The following is a 20290-nucleotide window of genomic DNA, read 5'->3' as shown; positions in this document are numbered from 1 at the left end:
GTGGTGGTACAGTAGGCCTGAGGTTTTTGTTTCCTTGTTGGCTGTCAGCTGGGGGTCACTCTGGCTTCTAGAGGCCCGCCCTGTTCTTTATCATGTGGTCCCATGCCATTTCTTTAAGTCAGCAATGATGCTTTGAATCCTTCCCATTCTTGGACTCTCACTGACTTCCTCTTCTGCCACCAGCAAGAGAGAACTCTTTGCTATTTAAAGGGCTCATGTGACTGGATTATGTCCCACCTAGATAATCTCTTCTTTTATTAACTCACAGTCAACTAATTAGTAACTTTAACTACATCTGCAAAATTACTTATATTAATTAACATAATCTGAATGAATTCTTATCATATTCACAGTCCTGGGAATTAGGCAGAAAATCTTGTGGGATCATATTAGGATTGTGCCTACCATAGAAGCATAGAGAAAGGGTTCAGGATGATGACGCTGAGAAGGCAGAAACTTCCAGGGGTAGATGATTGTTGACCTGAATTTTTAAAAAATAGCAAGAAGGTCAAATGGGGGCAGTTTTAGCCAAGAGTTAGTTGGAGGTTTGAAACAGTGTAGGGTGTGCCAGGATATATAAGTAGAACTATTGCTGAAGACTACTCAGAGAATGTCCCAAAATTTTAAGCTTAGAGATTAGGGTTAGTTGTTGGGAAACCATAAGAGGATTTTAAGCAGGTGATTGACATGTGTGTTGGAGAGTGATTTGGCACAACATAGAAGGTAGATTTTACAGAGTATCACTAGAGGTGGAGATCAAATAGAAGCCATAAAATGTATGCATCTGAGAGAGAGTGATTGTCTAAATCAGTACATTTGCACTAGAATGGGGAAAAGGAGAAGACTGTTTTTAATTTAGAAGGTAAATTTTGTAGCACTTAGCGATGGACTGCAAATGGAAAATGCTAGAGAAGAGGCACTCTGTGGTGACTTTTGGCTTAGGAGACTGTAGGTGGAGGATCTATACATTGATTTGGGGATGAAATCCGGATAGACAGATTGAAGGGAGGGGAGAGAAGTGGGATGATGAGTAATTGAATACTGGAAGTGTTGAATCTGAAGCAGTTGTAGAACATCCACATCATCAACTTTTCTCTTTCTACTGAATCAGCATAAAAGCATCCTCTTCTATTTCCGTTAAATACAAAACAAGAAAACGTCCCTGAATCCCTCATTGCTCTCCAGCTACCAGCTTAAATTTTCTTCTTCTTCATCCCTAAACTGCTTCCACATATCATCTCTTTTCATTCACTTTCCTTTTACTTTTCAATGCTTCTTTAGCTTTGCTTCCTAATTCACCTACCTACTCCATTGAAATTGCTTTGTCAAGGTCAGAGGTAGCTTTCCTGTTGCCATTGTCCTCAATTTATTCAGTGACCCAGCAGCATTTGATAGAATTGACCTGCTACTTAAATCCACAAATTGACTTAGCAGTACATAGTGCAGGCCTAAAAAATGAGAAAGAATAATCACACACAAAGTTCACTGTAGCATAATGAAAATAACACTTAAACACAACCATTTATTTATGGCATAGTCTCATTGTGTCTTCTAGTCAGAAAGTTAAAATATTATGCTGGGCAGTTCAAACTATATTCATCAAAATTATGTCGTTTTTTTCCTAACTTAGAAGAATATTTTCTTATATCAAAAGTTAAAGTCTTTGCCTATACTTGGATCTTGCTCTCCTTTCAAACATGCCTGAAGAGGTGAAAAATGTTATCAAGTTTTCAAAACAGGCTAGTCAGAGTCAGAGGCAGAGGCAGAGGTGAGAGTGAAACTGGTTTTGAGGTCAAGTAATCCATTGATTTCACTGCTCCACAAATTTTGTTCTCACTTTCTTTTTCACTTAGAACTTCATGTAAAGATACTTACCAAATTTCCATTTATTATTTAAATCATTATGAAACATTGCAGACATGCAGAATTACATAAAGGATAGACAGATAAATAGAATATGCATATTCCCACTATTTAAGAAGTAAAATAATCAAATTTTTCCTGTAGAGGAAACTGTCAGGCCTCTGAGCCCAAGCTAAGCCATCATATCCCCTGTGACCTGCACATTCACATCCAGATGGCCGGTTCCTGCTTTAACTGATGACATTCCACCACAAAAGAAGTGAAAATGGCCTGTTCCTGCCTTAACTGATGACATTATCTTGTGAAATTCCCTCTCCTGGCTCAAAAGCTCCCCTACTGAGCACCTTGTGACCCCTACTCCTGCCTGCCAGAGAACAACCCCCCTTTTTCCTTTTCCTACCCAAATCCTATAAAACAGCCCCACCCCTATCTCACTTTGCTGATTCTCTTTTTGGACTCAGCCCGCCTGCACCCAGGTGATTAAAAGCTTTATTGCTCACACAAATCCTGTTTGGTGGTCTCTTCACAGGGACGCGCATGAAATTTGGTGCCGTGACTCGGATCGGCGGACCTCCCTTAGGAGATCAATCCCCTGTCCTCCTGCTCTTTGCTCCATGAGAAAGATCCACCTACGACCTAAGGTCCTCAGACCAACCAGCCCAAGAAACATCTCACCAATTTCAAATCCGGTAAGCAGCCTCTTTTCACTCTCTTCTCCAACCTCCCTCACTATCCCTCAACCTCTTTCTCCTTCCAATCTTGGCACCACACTTCAATCTCTCCCTTCTCTTAATTTCAATTCCCTTCATTTTCTAGTAGAGACAAAGGAGACACGTTTTATCTGTGGACCCAAAACTCTGGCGCTGGTCGCAGACTGGGAAGGCAGCCTTTCCTTGGTGTTTAATCATTGCAAGGATGCCTCTCTGATTATTCACCCACATTTCAGAGGTGTCAGACCATGCAAGGACACCTGCCTTGGTCCTTCATCCTTAGCGGCAAGTCCCGCTTTTCTGGAGGAAGGGCAAGTACCCCAACCCCTTCTCTCTGTGTCTCTACCCCTTCTCTGCTTTTCTGAGGGAGGGGCAAGAACCCCTCAACCCCTTCTCCTTCACCCTTAGTGGCAAGTCCCGCTTTTCTAGGGGGCAAGAACCCCCAATCCCTTATTTCCATGCCCCAACCTCTTATCTCTGTGCCCCGATCCCTTATTTCCATGCCCCGATCTCTTATCTCTGTGCCCCAACCCCTTTCTCACTTTTCTGGAGGGTAAGAACCCCCAAACCCCTTCCCTCCGTGTCTCTACCCTTCTCTTTAAACTTGCATCCTTCACTATAGGCAACCTTCCACCTTCCATTCCTCCTTCTTCTCCCTTAGCCTGTGTTCTTAAGAACTTAAAACCTCTTCAACTCTCACCTGACCTAAAATCTAAGAAGTGTCTTATTTTCTTCTGAAATGCCGCTTGACCCCAATACAAACTCAACAGTAGTTCCAAATAGCCAGAAAATGGCACTTTCAATTTTTCCATCCTACAAGATCTAAATAATTCTTGTCGTAAAATGGGCAAATGGTCTGAGGTGCCTGACGTCCAGGCATTCTTTTACACATTAGGCCCTTCCTAGTCTCTGTTCCCAATGCAACTCGTCCCAAATCTTCCTTCTTTCCCTCCCTCCTGTCCCCTCAGTCCCAACCCCAAGCTTCCCTGAGTCTTTCTAATCTTCCTTTTCTACAGACCTATCTGACCTCTCCCCTCCTCGCCAGGCCGAGCTAAGTCCCAGTTCTTCCTCAGCCTCTGCTCCTCCACCCTATAATCCTTTTATCACCTCCCCTTCTCACACCCGGTCCAGCTTACAGTTTCGTTCCGCGACTAGCCTTCCCCAACCTGCCCAGCAATTTCCTCTTAAAAAGGTGGCTGGAGCTAAAGGCATAGTCAAGGTTAATGCTCCTTTTTCTTTATCCCAAATCAGATAGCATTTAGGCTCTTTTTCATCAAATATAAAAATCTAGCCCAGTTCATGGCCCGTTTGGCAGCAACCCTGAGATGCTTTAGAGCCCTAGACCCCAAGAGGTTAAAAGGCTGTCTTATTCTCAATATACATTTTATTACCCAATCTGCTCCCGACATTAAATAAAACTCCAAAAATTAAATTCCAGCCCTCAAACTCCACAACAGGACTTAATTAACCTTGCCTTCAAGGTGTACAATAATAGAAAAAAGTTGCAATTCCTTGCCTCCACTGTGAGACAAATCCCAGCCATATCTCCAGCACACAAGAACTTCTAAACGCCTGAACTGCAGCGGCCAGGCGTTCCTCCAGAACCTCCTCCCCCAGGAGCTTGCTACAAGTGCCAAAAATCTGGCCATCGAGCCAAGGAATGCGTGCCGCCCAGGATTCCTCCTAAGCCATGTCCCATCTGTGCGGGATCCCACTGGAAATCGGACTGTTCAACTCACCTGGCAGCCACTCCCAGAGGCCCTGGAACTCTGGCCCAAGGCTCTCTGACTGACTCCTTCCAAGATCTTCTCGGCTTAGTGGCTGAAGACTGACGCTGCCTGATTGCCTCGGAAGCCCCCTAGACCATCACAGATGCCGAGCTTCAGGTAACTCTCACAGTGGAAGGTAAGTCCGTCCCCTTCTTAATCAATATGGAGGCTACCCACTCCACATTATCTTCTTTTCAAGGGCCTGTTTCCCTTGCCTCCATAACTGTTGTGAGTATTGACGGCCAGGCTTCTAAACCTCTTAAAACTCCCCAACTCTGGTGCCAACTTAGACAATACTCTTTTAAGCACTCCTTTATAATTATCCCCACCTGCCCAGTTCCCTTATTAGGCTGGGTCACTTCAACTAAATTATCTGCTTCCCTGACTATTCCTGGACTACAGCTACATCTCATTGCCACCCTTTTTCCCAATCCAAAGCCTCCTTTGCATCCTCCTCTTGTATCCCCCCACCTTAACCCACAAGTATAAGATACCTCTACTCCCTCCTTGGTGACCGATCATGCACCCCTTACCATCTCATTAAAACCTAATCACCCTTACCCCACTGAATGCCAATATCCCATCCCGCAGCACGCTTTAAAAAGATTAAAGCCTGTTATCACTCGCCTGCTACAGCATGGCCTTTTAAAGCCTATAAACTCTCCTTACAATTCCCCCATTTTACCTGTCCTAAAACCAGACAAGCCTTACAAGTTAGTTCAGGATCTATGCCTTATCAACCAAATTGTTTTGCCTATCCACCCTGTGGTGCCAAACCCGTATACTTTCCTATCCTCAATACCTCCCTCCACAACCCATTATTCTGTTCTAGATCTCAAACATGCTTTCCTTACTATTCCTTTGCACCCTTCATCCCAGCCTCTCTTCGCTTTCACTTGGACTGACCCTGACACCCATCAGGCTCAGCAAGTTACCTGGGCTGTACTGCCGCAAGTCTTCACAGACAGCCCCCATTACTTCAGTCAAGACCAAATTTCTTCCTCCTCTGTTACCTATCTTGGCGTAATTCTCATAACAACACATGTGCTCTCCCTGCTGATCATGTCCGGCTAATCTCCCAAACCCCAACCCCTTCTACAAAACAACAACTCCTTTCCTTCCTAGGCATGGTTAGTGCAGTCAGAATTCTTACACAAGAGCCAGGACCGCACCCTGTAGCCTTTCTGTCCAAACAACTTGACCTTACTGTTTTAGCCTAGCCCTCATGTCTGTGTGCAGTGGCTGCCACTGCTTTAATACTGTTAGAGGCCCTAAAAATCACAAAGTATGCTCAACTCACTCTCTACAGTTCTCATAACTTCCAAAATCTATTTTCTTCCTCCCACCTGATGCATATATTTTCTTCTCCCCAGCTCCTTCAGCTATACTCACTCTTTGTTGAGTCTCCCACAATTACCATTGTTCCTGGCCCGGACTTCAATCTGGCCTCCCACATTATTCCTGATACCGCACCTGAACCTCATGACTGCATCTCTCTGAGCCACCTGACGTTCACCTCATTTCCCCACATTTCCTTCTTCCCTGTTCCTCACCCTGATCACACTTAGTTTATTGATGGCAGTTCCACCAGGCCTAATCGGCACACACCAGCAAAGGCAGGCTATGCTATAGTACAAGCCACTAGCCTGCCTCTTAGAACCTCTCATTTCCTTTCCATCGTGGAAATCTATCCTCAAAGAAATAACTTCTCAGTGTTCCATCTGCTATTCTACTACTTCTCAGGGATCATTCGGCCCCCTCCCTTCCTACACATCAAGCTCAGGGATTTGCCCCTGCCCAGGACTGGCAAATTAGCTTTACTCGACATGCCCCGAGTCAGGAAACTAAAATACCTCTTGGTCTAGGTAGACACTTTCATTGGATAGGTAGAGGCCTTTCCCACAGGGTCTAAGAAGGCCACCACGGCCATTTCTTCCCTCTGTCAGACGTAATTCCTTGGTTTGGCCTTCCCACCTCTATACAGTCCGATAGCAGACCGGGCTTTATTAGTCAAATCAGCCAAGAATTTTTTCAGTCTCTTAGTATTCAATGAAACCTTTATATCCCTTACAGTCATCAGTCTTCAGGAAAGGTAGAACAGACTAATGGTCTTTTAAAAACACACCTCACCAAGCTCAGCCACCAACTTAAAAAGGACAGGACAATACTTTTACCACTTTCCCTTCTCAGAATTCAGGCCTGTCCTCAGAATGCTACAAGGTACAGCCCATTTGAGCTCCTGTATAGACACTCCTTTTTATTAGGCCCCGGTCTCATTCCAGACACCAGACCAACTTGGACTCTGCCCCAAAAAACTTGTCATCCCTACTATCTTCTGTCTAGTCATACTCCTATTCACCGTTCTCAACTACTCATACATGCCCTGCTCTTGTTTACACTGTCAGTTTACACTGTTTCTCCAAGCGATCACAGCTGATATCTCCTGGTGCTATCCCCAAACCGCCACTCTTAACTCTTAAAGTAAATAAATAATCTTTGCTGGCAAAGCTATGCTGAACCTCCTTAGGCACTCTCTAAATGTCCTAGGTCCTCCCAATTCTTAGACCTTTAATACCTGTTTTTCTCCTTCTCTTATTCCGTTTTTCAATTCATACAAAACCGTATCCAGGCCATCACCAATAATTCTAAATGACAAATATTCCTTCTAACAACCCCACAATATCACCCCTTACCACAAAATCTTCCTTCAGCTTAATCTCTCCCACTCTAGGTTCCCACGCCGCCCCTAATCCCACTCGAAGCAGCCCTGAGAAACATTGCCCATTATCTCTCCATACCACCCCCCAAAAATTTTCACCATCCCAACGCTTTACCACTATTTCATTTTACTTTTCTTATTAATATAAGAAGACAGGAATGTCAGGCCTCTGAGCCCAAGCTAAGCCATCATATCCCCTGTGACCTGCACATACACATCCAGATGGCCGGTTCCTGCCTTAACTGATGACATTCTACCACAAAGGAAGTGAAAATGGCCTGTTCCTGCCTTAACTGATGACATTATCTTGTGAAATTCCTTCTCCTGGCTCATCCTGGCTCAAAAGCTCCCCTACTGAGCACCTTGTGACCCCCACTCCTGCCCGCCAGAGAACAACCCCCCTTTTTCCTTTACCTACCCAAATCCTATAAAACAGCCCCACCCCTATCTCCCTTCACTGACTCTTTTTGGACTCAGCCTGCCTGCACCCAGGTGATTAAAAGCTTTATTGCTCACACAAATCCTGTTTGGTGGTCTCTTCACAGGGACGCGCATGAAAGAAACTATTAATACAATTTTATTATTTATCAATCTCATTTATTTCTTTACATTTTTGCTAAATGTGTATGTATTCCTATGTAGTATATAGACTCATTTTGAATGTTTCCATTTCTATATAAATGAAATCACTGAGTATATAGGTCTTTGCCTAACATATTTGTGATTTATCCATAATGAATTTTCAGTTGCTAAGAATTCATTTTCACTGTCATTTAACATTTGATATATGATAATGTCAAATTTTATTTACCTGTTCTTTTGATAAACATTTAAGTTGTTAATATATTTTTCTATTGTTGCTATTTTAAAAATGTCTCCTTATGAAAGTGTATGATCATTTCTTTGCTGTATATACCTATAACGTGCTTTCTGAGTAGCAGGTATAATAAACTCATCAGATTTGCTAGATATTGCTAATTGCTCTTAGTAGTTGCCTTCCCCAGTGGAATAAAAAAAATCTTATTTATTATTCTTATCAAAACACTATTTTCAGAGATTTGAAGTAATATCTAAAGTTAGTTTTCATTTGCACATCCCTCTTTGCTACTGAGATTGAGCATCTATTCACATTTAATATTTACCAGTTTATTTACCTTTTTTATCTACTGCCTGTTCATATCTTTTGACATTTTATACTAGATTAATTTTTATTTTTCTTTATTGATTTGTAGAAATCCTTCATCTAATCTGGCAAACACATGTGGCAGGTACTGTTACATGCTTACTCAATACCCATGTAATTTACCATGTTCTCTAAAACTGTCATTATGACTCTTAGTAATTTGTTTTCCATGCTAATTTTATAATGAGCTTGCTACACTATAAAAAATGAAAACAAAACAAAACTTTGGTGAAACATCATCTGAGTTATGTTGAATGCATAGATTAATTTTGAGGAAACTGCCATCTTCACAATATTGAATTTCCATGTCTTTGAAATTATCTCTACTTATGTACATCTTTAATTTCTTTCAATAAAATATTTTAAATGCTGTGCATCATTATGACACCCATTTTTTAAAATTTATTTCAAGATAATTTTTACTTTTGGAAGTTATTCTAAATTAAATACTTTAAAAATTTATTTTATGGACCAGTTTGTTGCTGAAGTATTGACATTAAACTAATTTTGTTTGTTGGTCTGTTATAAAGCAATCTTGCTAAAATTATTAGTTATAATAATTGTTAAGTCTCTTGATTTTGTTATGTAGAGCATCATATTCTGGCAAATAATGCCAGATTTGTTTCTTGCTTTAGAAATTTCCTATTATTTATTTCGTGCTGTGCTTGCTGGCTAGATCCATAAAACAATTTAAAAAAAGACTGATAAGTACCTTTGTTTTGTTTCTGATTTTAAAGACATTATACCTAATATTTCATTATTAAGTGTAATGTTTCTTTATTCTTTTGGTATATCTGGTTCAAGAACTTTCTATTCCTAGATTCCTAGAGTTTTTAATCATAAGTGAGCAGTGAATTTTAAGAAAGTCTTTTTCTGTTACTGAGATACACTTTTTTCTTTTTATCTATTAGTTTTGTTGATTATATTAATATATTTTGTCATGATAAACCATTCTGAATTTCTGTACTGCATGCATTTGACTTGTTAATATTTTATTTAGAATGTCTGCATGTGTCTTCTTGAAGGATATTGCACTACAACTTAACCTTGCGTCCGTGTTCATGTTGGTATTTTCTTTCTAGGTTTTTCTCACCGCATAAAATATGTTATAGAGTAGTCCATCTATTTCTCTTCCATGGAAGAGTTCATCTGGTAGATTGGACTACCACTTTTCCTTGTGAGTATATTGATTATGTGTCCCTACCTGTTATTATTTGACTTACACTCTCTCTGTCCCTGAGAGTATTCCTCGTGCATTAGCGTTGGGATTGGATACACAATTTATATGAGAAATAAATCTTTGTTGTTGCAGATCACTGACACACGTGAGATTTTTTGCAACTATAGCATAAATGAACTGACACATCATTAAAAATTAAAATTACATTTTTCTTTAATGTCTGATAGAAATCACCTACAAAATTATTTTTCTCTTTTAAATGAGATTTTTAAAAAGATATTAATTAGTTTAATAATTGTAGGTCTATGTGGGTCTTAAAAATTTATTTCTGAACCACTTTGAATAAATTAAGTTATAGTTGTCTAGAAAACTCTCCATTTTGTTTATATCTTTGTCCTAAAGTTGATATAAAATTCTACTCATTTTTAAATTTCTGCTGCCTTTACATATTCTCCCTAGTTTAAAATTTCAAATGATTATTTCTTCCTTTGGTTTGTTCTTTATTAATCTTGCTATGCTTAGTTTTTTTATTTTTTTTTTTGTTTGTTTGTTTTTTGTTTTTTGTTTTTTTTTTTTGAGATGGAGTCTCTCTCTGTCGCCCAAGCTGGAGTGCAATGGTACAATCTCGGCTCACTGCAACCTTCACCTCCCAGGTTGAAGTGATTCCCCTGCCTCAGCCTCCCGAGTAGCTGGGACTACAGGCACATGCCATCACACTTGGCTAATTTTTGTATTTTCAGTAGAGACAGGGTTTTACCATGTTGGCCGGGCTGGTCTCAAACTGCTGACCTCAGGTGATCTGCCCACCTCAGCCTCCCAAAGTGCTGGGATTACAGGCTTGAGCCACCACGCCCGGCCTTTATTAGTCTTTTCAAAAAGCCAACTCTTTATTTCATATTATTTATTTAATTTCATTATCTACTCATATTTATTATTTTTCTTTTTCTTTCTTTGTGATTATTCTTTTTTTAAACTTTATCGTTTTAGAACAGTTTTCAGTTCACAGAAAAATTGAAAAGAAGGAGGAAAGCTTTATCATTTACCCCTTTCCCCTATACATGCATGAATAGCCTCCCTCCACCATTAACAAAGTCCCCCACCAAAGTGGTACATTTGATACAGCCATTGAACCTACGTTGACACATCATTATCACCCAAAGTCCATAGTTAATATTGACTCTTGATGTTGTACATTATGTATGTTTGCACAAATGAACAATGACATGTATCCACCATTATAATATCATAGAGAGCAGTTTCATTGCATTAAAAAATTTTTCTGTTCTCCACCTATTCAACCCTGCTTCCTCTGTAACTCCTGTCAACCTACTGATCTTTTTTAATGTCTCCATAGTTTTTCCTTTTCCAGAATATCATATATTTAGAATACAGTATATAGACTTTTCAGATTGGCTTCTTTCACACATTCACTTGCTTTCCAGTTTCTTCCATTTCTTTAGAAATATCAAGTCATATAATCCATCATATCAAAAGGCCAAAGGAGAAAAAAAAATCATACGATTGTATCAATTGATGCAGAAGAAACATTTGACAAAATCCAATACCCGTTAATGATTAAAAACTCTCAGTAAACTAGGAATAGAAGGGAACTTCCTTAACTTGATAATGAATATCTGCATATTAGAACTAACATCATACTCAACAGTAAGAAACTAGAAATTTCCCCACTAAAACCAAGAACAAGGCAAGAATGTCCCGTTTAAGCAGTATTTTTCAACAGCATACTGAAAATGCTCGCTAATACAATATGAAAGGAAACCAAAATAAAAGATATACTGATTGGGAAGGAGAAAAACTCCTAGGCCTAATAAGCAATTATACTAAAGTTACAAGACATGAGATTAATATATAAAACTCAGTTGATTTCCTGTATATAAGAAATGAACAACTGGAATTTGAAATTAAAACACAATACCACTTACATTAGCAGCCCCAAAATGAAATTTTTAGGTATAAATTTAACAAAGTATGTACAAGATCTATATGAGGAAAGTTACAACACTCTGATGAACAAAATAAAAGAAGAACTAAATAATTGGAGAGACATTTATGTTCTTAGATATGAACCATCTTGCATTTCTGTGCTGCATGAATTTGACTTGATAGTATTTTATTTAGAATGCCTGCATTTGTCTTCATGTAAGACATTGCACTACACTTTAACCTTGTGTTGGTATCCATGCTGGGTTTTATTATCTAGGTTTTTCTTACCACATAAAATTTGTTATAGAGTAGTGCATCTATTTCACTTCCACAGGAGATTTTATCTATGGTAGATTGGACCACTACCCTTTTCTGTGAGAATATTGATAATGTTGTATGTCCTTGCCTTTCATTCCATTTTCATGACTCTATATTGTCAAGATGTCAGTTCTTCCCAGCTTGACTTATAGATTCAGCGCAGTCCCCGTAAAAATCCCAGCAAATTATTGTGTGGATTGAAAAACTGGTTTTAAAATTTATATAGAAAGGTAAAAGACCCAAATTAGCCAACACAGTGTTGAAGGAGAAGGAGAAAGTTGGAAGGCTGACACAACTTTACTTCAAGACTTATTATCAAGCTACAGTAATCAAGAAAGAGTGGTACTGGTGGAAAAATAGACAAATAAATCAATATATAAGCCATCCAGTCTATGGTATTGTGTTATAGAAGCCCGAATGACTAAGACACTACACAATCAGAGTGTGGACCAATCCAAATATATTTCCTTATTATTTTCCTTTATTTTAATCAACCTAACTACTGAGAATGTAGCCTTTTGTGTTTTATGCTACAGTCTAAATTAGGAATGTTAACTTTGTGGATTCAAGGCAAAATGTCTTGTCCTCTTTGTAATTATTAGAAAGCAAGGCAATAAGTAGCACAGAATAATAAATGACCTAAGTTTGCTACAAGTAAATGCCCATTTTTTACAGTGGTTTTCAACATCTTTTTCATTTTTGGCTTTAAAGTTTCCTTTATTTTCTGGCAGGGACAAATGTACATTGGAAAAGATTGTTAAAATGTATTCACCATATTCACATTTTTGTATGGGGAAGGTTTTTGATGTTGTCTAATATGAATTAAGCTGAAAATGATAGTCTCCTTTCATTCTTAAACTCTTTACATTCTGAATTCCTGCTCTCACCTCAGTTCTTGTAAATTTTCTCAATGATCTCATGAATACCAAATTTTATTTCTGCCTCTCAGTGCTCATTTGCTCATCATTTCCCCTAATTTCTAATTTCTGTTTTCCATTGCCATTATCTTTTTTTTTTTTTTTTGCTCTCTTTGTAACACTACCACCATTTCCTAAGGTTCAGACTTCAAAATTACATAATAAATTTTCCTTTCTGTACCCTGTATTCCATTAATCAGGAAATTCTATAGATTCTTGCTACTTATTCTGTTTTTGTCTATTTTTTTTTTTCTATCATTCTCAGAACAGCAGAAACTCAGACCCTGCAATGTTTCTTGTTGGTCTTTCTCATCTTTGTATATGTCCCACCCCTATGTTTGATCATGGCTTTCCTTTCTTTAAAAATCTACAGTCTAATGTATTATATATTATATATTACATATAATATAACTTTCTTAGATTAATATTCAAATTCTTACTTGATTTGGCCCTAGACTATTTTCAACCATTATCTTTCACAAAACACTTTTGAAGACAAAAATCATGCCATATGAAATGATTTATTGTTCTCTAAACATAAAATCACTCCTTTCAATTTCTTGGGCTTCTGATTTCTTCCAAATGAAATACATTTTACAATGTGTTTACATCCCCACAAATTGAAAGTAACTTCTGTCAACATAGAGACTAAATGCTTGGTACAGACATCTTGCATGGATGCTACCAAGAATTCCAAAGTTGTAAATTATCTCCCTTTTCTTTTCTTCTATAGAATATTTTATCTACTTTATTATGTCTATCAGATGCTGCCTGGTTAGATGGACATTTATGTATGTCTTCCTATTAAACTGCAAGGTCCATGATAACTGGGTCTTTTCAACCTCTTTGTGTAGTTGTTATTACTAATCACAATGAATAAATCATAGAAGATTTTCAACAAATGCTTACTGAGTCTGGAGGTAAATATTGTGAATACAAGCTAATCTTTCTTTTTAAGAATGTACAAAATGCTATTATTCTATATGATAAGGAACCAAATAGAAATCAGTAAAGACAGAAGAAGGCTTCTTTTGTCCTCTATGGATGATATGTCATTCCTAAAAAACACATGCTGTAGTTTCCTAAATTGAAAACTTATAAATAACATTATCATATCACCATTGTGTATCATCAAAAGAAATAATTAAAATTGTTTTACAACTGAATATAAAAAGTATCCCTTATACTGCATATTACTTTACTCATTTAATTATCATTACCTTCTGTGTTGGCCTAAGATTGCATAGCAAGTAAATGGTGGAGACAAAATGTACACATAACTCTTCTAAAACTCTAATTTTGTATACTTCACACATATTTGTTCTATTATATTAAGCTTATACTGGTTTTAAAATTTCCTTTGTGAGATCATGTGTCAACAAAACATCAAAGACAGTGTTTAACTCCCTTGCAGAATAAGTTTAAATGTATTGTACTAAGCTCCAACATAGTCACTCTGCATATGTGGGAAAGTTCTTTTCAGACTTAGAGTTCCTGAAGTAGAATAAGAGTTTGAAATGGCACTTAGAACCTGTTTGGAGCTGATATATTATACTAAATACAAACTATAAGTAGTATTTTTTCAAACTGTTGGCATGTCCCCAGGTAATACATGGACTACATTTTTTCCCCAAAAGGTATTTGGTTTAATCTAGCGTTTTTCAAATCAGATTTCACATATGTGTTGTCAGGAAATGTTAGATGATCCACACATCCTATATAGTCATTAATTTAGTGTTAGTTTTTTTATTCTATTTGAAATAAGCAATTGACACAATTGACAGCATTTAGCTTTTAATGTACTGGCAAACATGTCTTAGCAATAGCAATTACCTTGACATTTTCTAATATTAAAATGATTACTATCTGTTACAATATTTATATTTGAATTTTTATTATAAGGATATCTACCATTTGATCCTAATATCAAAAAGATAAAATCATTTCTTTTCTAACACAATTTTCATGTTGGACTTTTTAACATTACCAGACAAATGTATAGGTATAAATTTCTATTGAAAATGTTTTCATAGATTAAGACTTCAATTTATTAAGGAATATAATATATTGGGATCTGAGAGTAAGAAAGAGCATTGAGGGAAAGTAATGTACCATTTATAGTGGATTGAGAAGAGGAAAACAGAGGCTGATTTAAAATGCAAATGCAACATGTGCACCAAGGGAAAGGCCAGATGCTATCACAAAGGAAAAGATCACTTAAATAGAAAAAAGTGGTGAGGTGGTCCTGCCATCACATCACCATTAGTTTGCTGAACCTCCACCAACTTACACTGTAGCATTCAGTACCGTGTTTATATTGAGAGTTTTAATTTAGTTTAGCAAAATATCATCCATCACATTAATTGAATGCTGTTACTCTGAATTTTTATTTTCTTAAATTTTTTAGTATTTGCTATAAATGCTTGGCTTTATGATTGGGAGAGAACTAGGCACATGAGGGATTTATTCTGTTGTATGTTTTTATGTATTTAAGCAAGATAAAAATAACTGAAGTCAACACTGCTAGTTCATAATACATCTTTCCTTTATGTGAGGTTTTTTTCTTTTCTCTAGTTGGGAGTCATTGTCTTTAACTATAATCATTCATACAGCAGTTTTAAAACAAAAGCAAACATAATCTAAAACCTACTATAATCTGTTTTTGAAATGCTAATAGCAGGTTTGCCAGTTTTAAAGTGTAAAGCAATTCATTATCACAGCTAGCTGACAAAAGCTTGGGGGCAAAGATCTGCTAAAATTATATTAAGAAAAATACAAAACAGTTAACACTTGAACTTTGAAACTGTTTGAAAATACTAGAATGAGTCTGTACTAGTATGTATAACATTTTGTTATTTATGGACATTTAAAAACAAATGAAAACGCTTGAAAATAGCTGAAAATTAAATACATCTTAACCAATATAACTAAGTCAACTTCCTCCCCATGGAGAATAAAATAGCAACAAAAAATTCAGGGTTTCTAGTTACCAAAAGTGTATTCTCCTATCTCTTCTCTCTCTTGTTTCACATATTTTAGGCATTTTGCCAATGTTTAGGCCAGTGATCCATTTATTGCCATGAGATAATATAATGATAGATGATAGTGGTCAGAAGTCTTCTCAAACTGCACAGCTTTCTAGAACCCTTAGTAGATTTGGGAGTTTTGTGTTTCTTCCCATGATAATTTGATTATACTTTGCCAACTGCCAAAATTCTTGTACTAGAGAAATGAATAAAGTAGCCCTGTAGTGAGGCTCTTCATTTGAAGTCAGATTTTCACTAAATACAACAAAATGGCTGCAGGCAGATGTTTCACAGTGGCCCTAAAATGCCATGTTTTGCAAATGCATATATTCAGGATTATAAGTGTTGGTGCCACCTGCTCTTGAATAGTGTGTCCTTTTTCTTCCCCACTGCTCCCCTAACCCTTCATCATCACTTCACAAATTTACCCTCCAACTGTTAGTTCAAATGAAAATAGCAAATACTTGGTTCAATGGTAAGATAGTTACCATCATTGCTATGGTTTGAATGTGTGTGTTCCCTCTGAAATTCATGCTAAGTCTTAATCCCCAGTGCAACAATGTTAAGAGGTGGAGCCTTTAGGAGATGATTAGCCTCAGAAGACGAGCGCTGCAGTGAGACCCTCAGTCTTCTTAGTGTGTATGTAAGCGGTCATGATCAGAATGCTGGTAGAAATAGGGAAAGATTCTGAGATGGTCTTAGATGGAAATTACAAATACTATATTGAAAACTAGAGGAAAGGACAACCTTGTTACAAAGTTGCAAAGAACTTGGCTGCGTTGCCTCAGTATCCTAGGGCTTTGTGGAAGGCAGAATTTAAGAGCAGTGAACTTGGATATTTGTGGAGGAATGTCTGTGTAAAGTGTTCAGGTTGCTGCGTGGCTTCTATTAATGTCTTAAAGTAAAATGCAGAAGAGAGAAATAAATTAAAGATGGAATGTATAATCAAAAAGGGAACAGAAATTAACGATTTGGAAATTCTAAATGTTTCCATGTAAAGAATGAAAAGGGTTGTTTTGGGGAGAATAGCAAGAATGTGGCCAAGTGATATGGAAATTAGTATGGATAAAAGGAACCCGGATGCCATTCATCAAGACAGTGGAAGAATGACCCTGAAGGAATTTTGGAGATCTTTAAGGCTGCCACCCCCATCACAGGCCCAGAGTGCTAGGGCCTTGAGAGCAGAAATATTTCAAGGTAGGGGCCCTGAGGTATGGGCTCACAGAAGGGCCGCAGCTCTTCTCCCCTTCTCATCGCCCGCAGCGCAGTGAGAGGGAGGGTGTGTTTCAGAGGGCTGTGTTTCAGTCTGTTTTTTACAGCTCTTTCACAGTCCTGGGGCCCCGCTCCAGCCCGCATCTCCTGGACTGGCCTGGCCCGGCCTCTGCTTCCTGTTGTGTGGGGCAGCCACCCACTGCTGGCAGAAGGTGGGAGGGCTATAGTGTTACAGCTCTGGCTCAGGCAACACCAAGGTCTGGGCCCCCAGAAGAATCACTACTCTTCACTCCCACAGTCTGTGAGCGTGTCACTGCCCGCAGCTCGGTGAGTCAGCCAGGAAAGTGTTACAGCTCCTTTCACTCCCGCTGTTCAGCAGGTCCCGAGTTCTCATCCCGCATCCAGGAAGAATGAGGTTATGTGGACACCTGGAGGGTGAGCGAGGCTGAGAAAAGCTTTATTGGGCAACCAGACAGCTCTCAGAAGAGAGGTGACCTGAAGCAGGTAACCCCTATCTGCAAGTAGGTACTCCCAACTAGTGTCTAGTCTGGCTCTTAAAAGTAATACCAAACCATTACTTTTTAATTGTTCTATTTGTAATATTTACATTCTATTGAATAACTAAGGGAATTCAAAATCCTTTGCTTATATGTTAAGTTTTTAAAATGGAAAATAAATAAAGGTTGTTATAATATTATGATTATATGAATATATGACAGGAATAAATATGATAACTAGACCCACAGAAAATGCATGTAGTCCTATGTCATTTCAAAGAGAATGAGGATGTTGCAAGAGACAGAGCATATGTATTCAGATTCTTATATGTTAATGCTTTTTCAAAATCAAGTCATAATTAAGGACAAGCTACAAAGTGAGAAAAAAATACTTGGAAATCACTTATCTGACAAAGGACTAAGTATAGAATATAAAAACACCACTCGAAACTCAACAGGTAATAAAACAACCAATCCTGTTTTAAAAATTGGAACATAAACCATCACTTCACCAAAGAGCATATACAGATGGAAACAAGCATATGAAAAGATGATCAACATCATTAGCCATTAAAAAAATACAAATTAAATCCACAGTGAGATAATGTATATTAGAATGACTGGAAAAGAAAACCAAGCAGATGTCACAAAACCAAGCAGACGTCACAAACCAAGCAGATGTCACAATATAAATATGCACTTAATATATGATCAAGCAATCCCACTCAGGTATTTATTCTAGAGAAATAAAAACATGTTCATATAAAAGCTCATGTACAATATTTATAACAGCTCTTTTTATAATTGCCAAAACATAGAGATAAACTGAATTTCTTCAATGAGTGGATAGATATATTATGACACATTCATATAATAATGTTCAACAATAAAAAGTAATAAACTATTGATACACACAAGGATTAATATTTAAGGCATTAAGCTGTGCTAAAGAAGTTTGTTTTAAAAGGTTACATACTGTATGACTGATTATATTTATATGATGCCTTACAAAAGGCAAAACTGTAGTGAGGATGAAATAATGAGTGAGGCTGGGTGAAGTGGTTCACTCTTGTTATCCTAGCGCTTTGGGAGGCCGAGGCGGGCAGATCATCTGAGGTCAGAAGTTCAAGACCAGCTGGCCAACATGGTGAAACCCCAGCTCTACTAAAAATACAAAAATTAGCTGGGCATGGTAGTGCGTGCCTGTAATCCCAGCTACTCGGGAGGCTGAGGCAGAAGAATCGCTTGAACCTGGGAGGGGGAGCTTGCAGTGAGCTGAGATCATGCCACTACACTCCAGGCTGGGTGACAGAGTGAGACTCTATCTCAAATAAAAAAAAAAAAAGAAATAATGAGTGTTTGCCAGAGGTTTGGGTTGGGGAAACGGTGCAACTACAAAGGGGCAGCACGATGGAGATTTGTAGGTGGAGGAAATTGTATCCTCAACTATGGATCGTGGTGGTATTAACATGTTTTAATACTCATGGACTTGTACATCAAAGAGATCAATTTTAATGTATGTAGTTTTTAAAAAGTAAGATTAAGTTGTACCATGTATTACTTAATTCAGATCTGGAGTATAAGTTTCAACACTTTCCCTAGAATTTCCTATTGTATTTTTCCTTTTGACAGAAGAAAATATATACTTTTGATCAAATAAATGTATAAAAGATTTATGTAAATGTCTTTTATAAATATCTCACAACTTCTTAATAATAATAATAGTATATGTTACATGACACTTACTTTCATTTTGAAAGCATTCTTGGAGTCCTCTGACCTTCTGTCTAATTTTGTCTAAATATTTGCTAGGTGTACTATACTATTATCATCCATAATTTTTTTACCTTTGCACTCCTGGGTTGGTTCTGGATTTTGAGCTCTTTTCTCAGGAAAATTTACAATTTTCTCGATTTAATCTTTAATTTTTTTAACTAAATCTTCATGAGATGTAAGATTTATATATTTTCACATGCCCCAAAATATATTTTTCTTTTATGCCTGGTAATAATTGGTCTGGGTAAGGAAATCTAGGTTCCATGTCATTCTCAAAGAGCTCTGAAAGTGCAGATATCAAACTCACTGTCTTAATTTGGGTTCCTCAAGAAAGCAGGACCTAAGCAAAAATTTAAGTATAGGTAGTTTATTTTGGTGTTAGACCCAGGAATCAGAAGTGAGAGAGTGGGGAGAGTGAGGTTGTTAAGAAAGAAAATGCAATGTTAGGGTGCTCTATCAAAGTAGCTGCTATGGACAACTGGGCTCAATTCCTCCAGCATATTCTGAGAAGTGTACCTACTACCTCCCAGATTTTTCCGTCTGGAGTATAGGACACTGGAGTACTTAATACAGAGGTTACCACTCCACATTGTTTGTTGGTTTCTCTTAAGGTGCATTAAATTTCTCCTTAGCACTGCCATTTGTTGTTAGTACTTGAAAGTTCCTACAATGCTGGATAAAACTCTGAGGCAAAATGCAAAAAGATGCACATTTTTCAGCATTATATAAATTTGAGGCCACTTGGAACTGTCTACTACAACTGATAATGAAATTATATGTGCATTGATAGGATGTGACCAAGGACCCACCCCAGAGGTGTCTGGTTCACTCCTTACACTGTAGATATATCTCCTTATGTACCTGACATGGTTTGGCTGTGTCCCTACCCAAATCTCATCTTGAATTGTTATCCCCATAATCCCCATGTGTCATGGGAGGGACCAGGTGGGAGTTAATTGAATCATGGGGGTTGTTTGCCCCATGCTGTTCTCCTGATAGTGAGTGAGTTCTAATGAGATCTGAGGGTTTTATAAGCATCTGGCATTTCTCCTGTTGGCACTCATTCTCTCTCCTGTCACCCTGTGAAGAAGTTCCTTCTGCTATGATTGTAAGTTTCCTGAGCACTCCCCAGCCAAGCAGAACTGTGAGTCAATTAAACCTCTTTCCTTTGTAAAC

At 37.8% G+C, this 20290-nt stretch overlaps 1 long non-coding RNA gene across 1 annotated transcript, besides 2 other annotated features; it reads left to right on the top strand.

Moving 5' to 3' along the window:
- Nucleotides 1–2512: 2512 nt before the first annotated feature.
- On the top strand, nucleotides 2513–18456 carry LOC107986021 (uncharacterized). Its single transcript, XR_002959680.2, has 4 exons — nucleotides 2513–2552; nucleotides 8294–8329; nucleotides 9327–9421; nucleotides 17221–18456. It is a non-coding gene; the product is annotated as an uncharacterized LOC107986021 (long non-coding RNA).
- Nucleotides 7049–7603: an enhancer, noted in NCBI's record as "OCT4-NANOG hESC enhancer chr3:106641631-106642185 (GRCh37/hg19 assembly coordinates)". NCBI's record gives its function as "activates a minimal SCP1, AML or CMV promoter by ChIP-STARR-seq in naive H9 embryonic stem cells {active_cell/tissue: H9 hESC(naive)}" and the evidence as "EXISTENCE:reporter gene assay evidence [ECO:0000049][PMID:30033119]".
- Nucleotides 16671–16965: a silencer, noted in NCBI's record as "tiled region #705; K562 Repressive non-DNase unmatched - State 24:Quies". NCBI's record gives its function as "represses a minimal TATA promoter and a strong SV40 promoter by Sharpr-MPRA in K562 cells {active_cell/tissue: K562}" and the evidence as "EXISTENCE:reporter gene assay evidence [ECO:0000049][PMID:27701403]".
- Nucleotides 18457–20290: the final 1834 nt, after the last annotated feature.

This window comes from Homo sapiens, chromosome 3, assembly GCF_000001405.40.
Source record: "Homo sapiens chromosome 3, GRCh38.p14 Primary Assembly".
Classification (NCBI taxonomy): Eukaryota; Metazoa; Chordata; class Mammalia; order Primates; family Hominidae; genus Homo; species Homo sapiens.
This window is presented reverse-complemented; position numbering and strand designations above follow the sequence as displayed.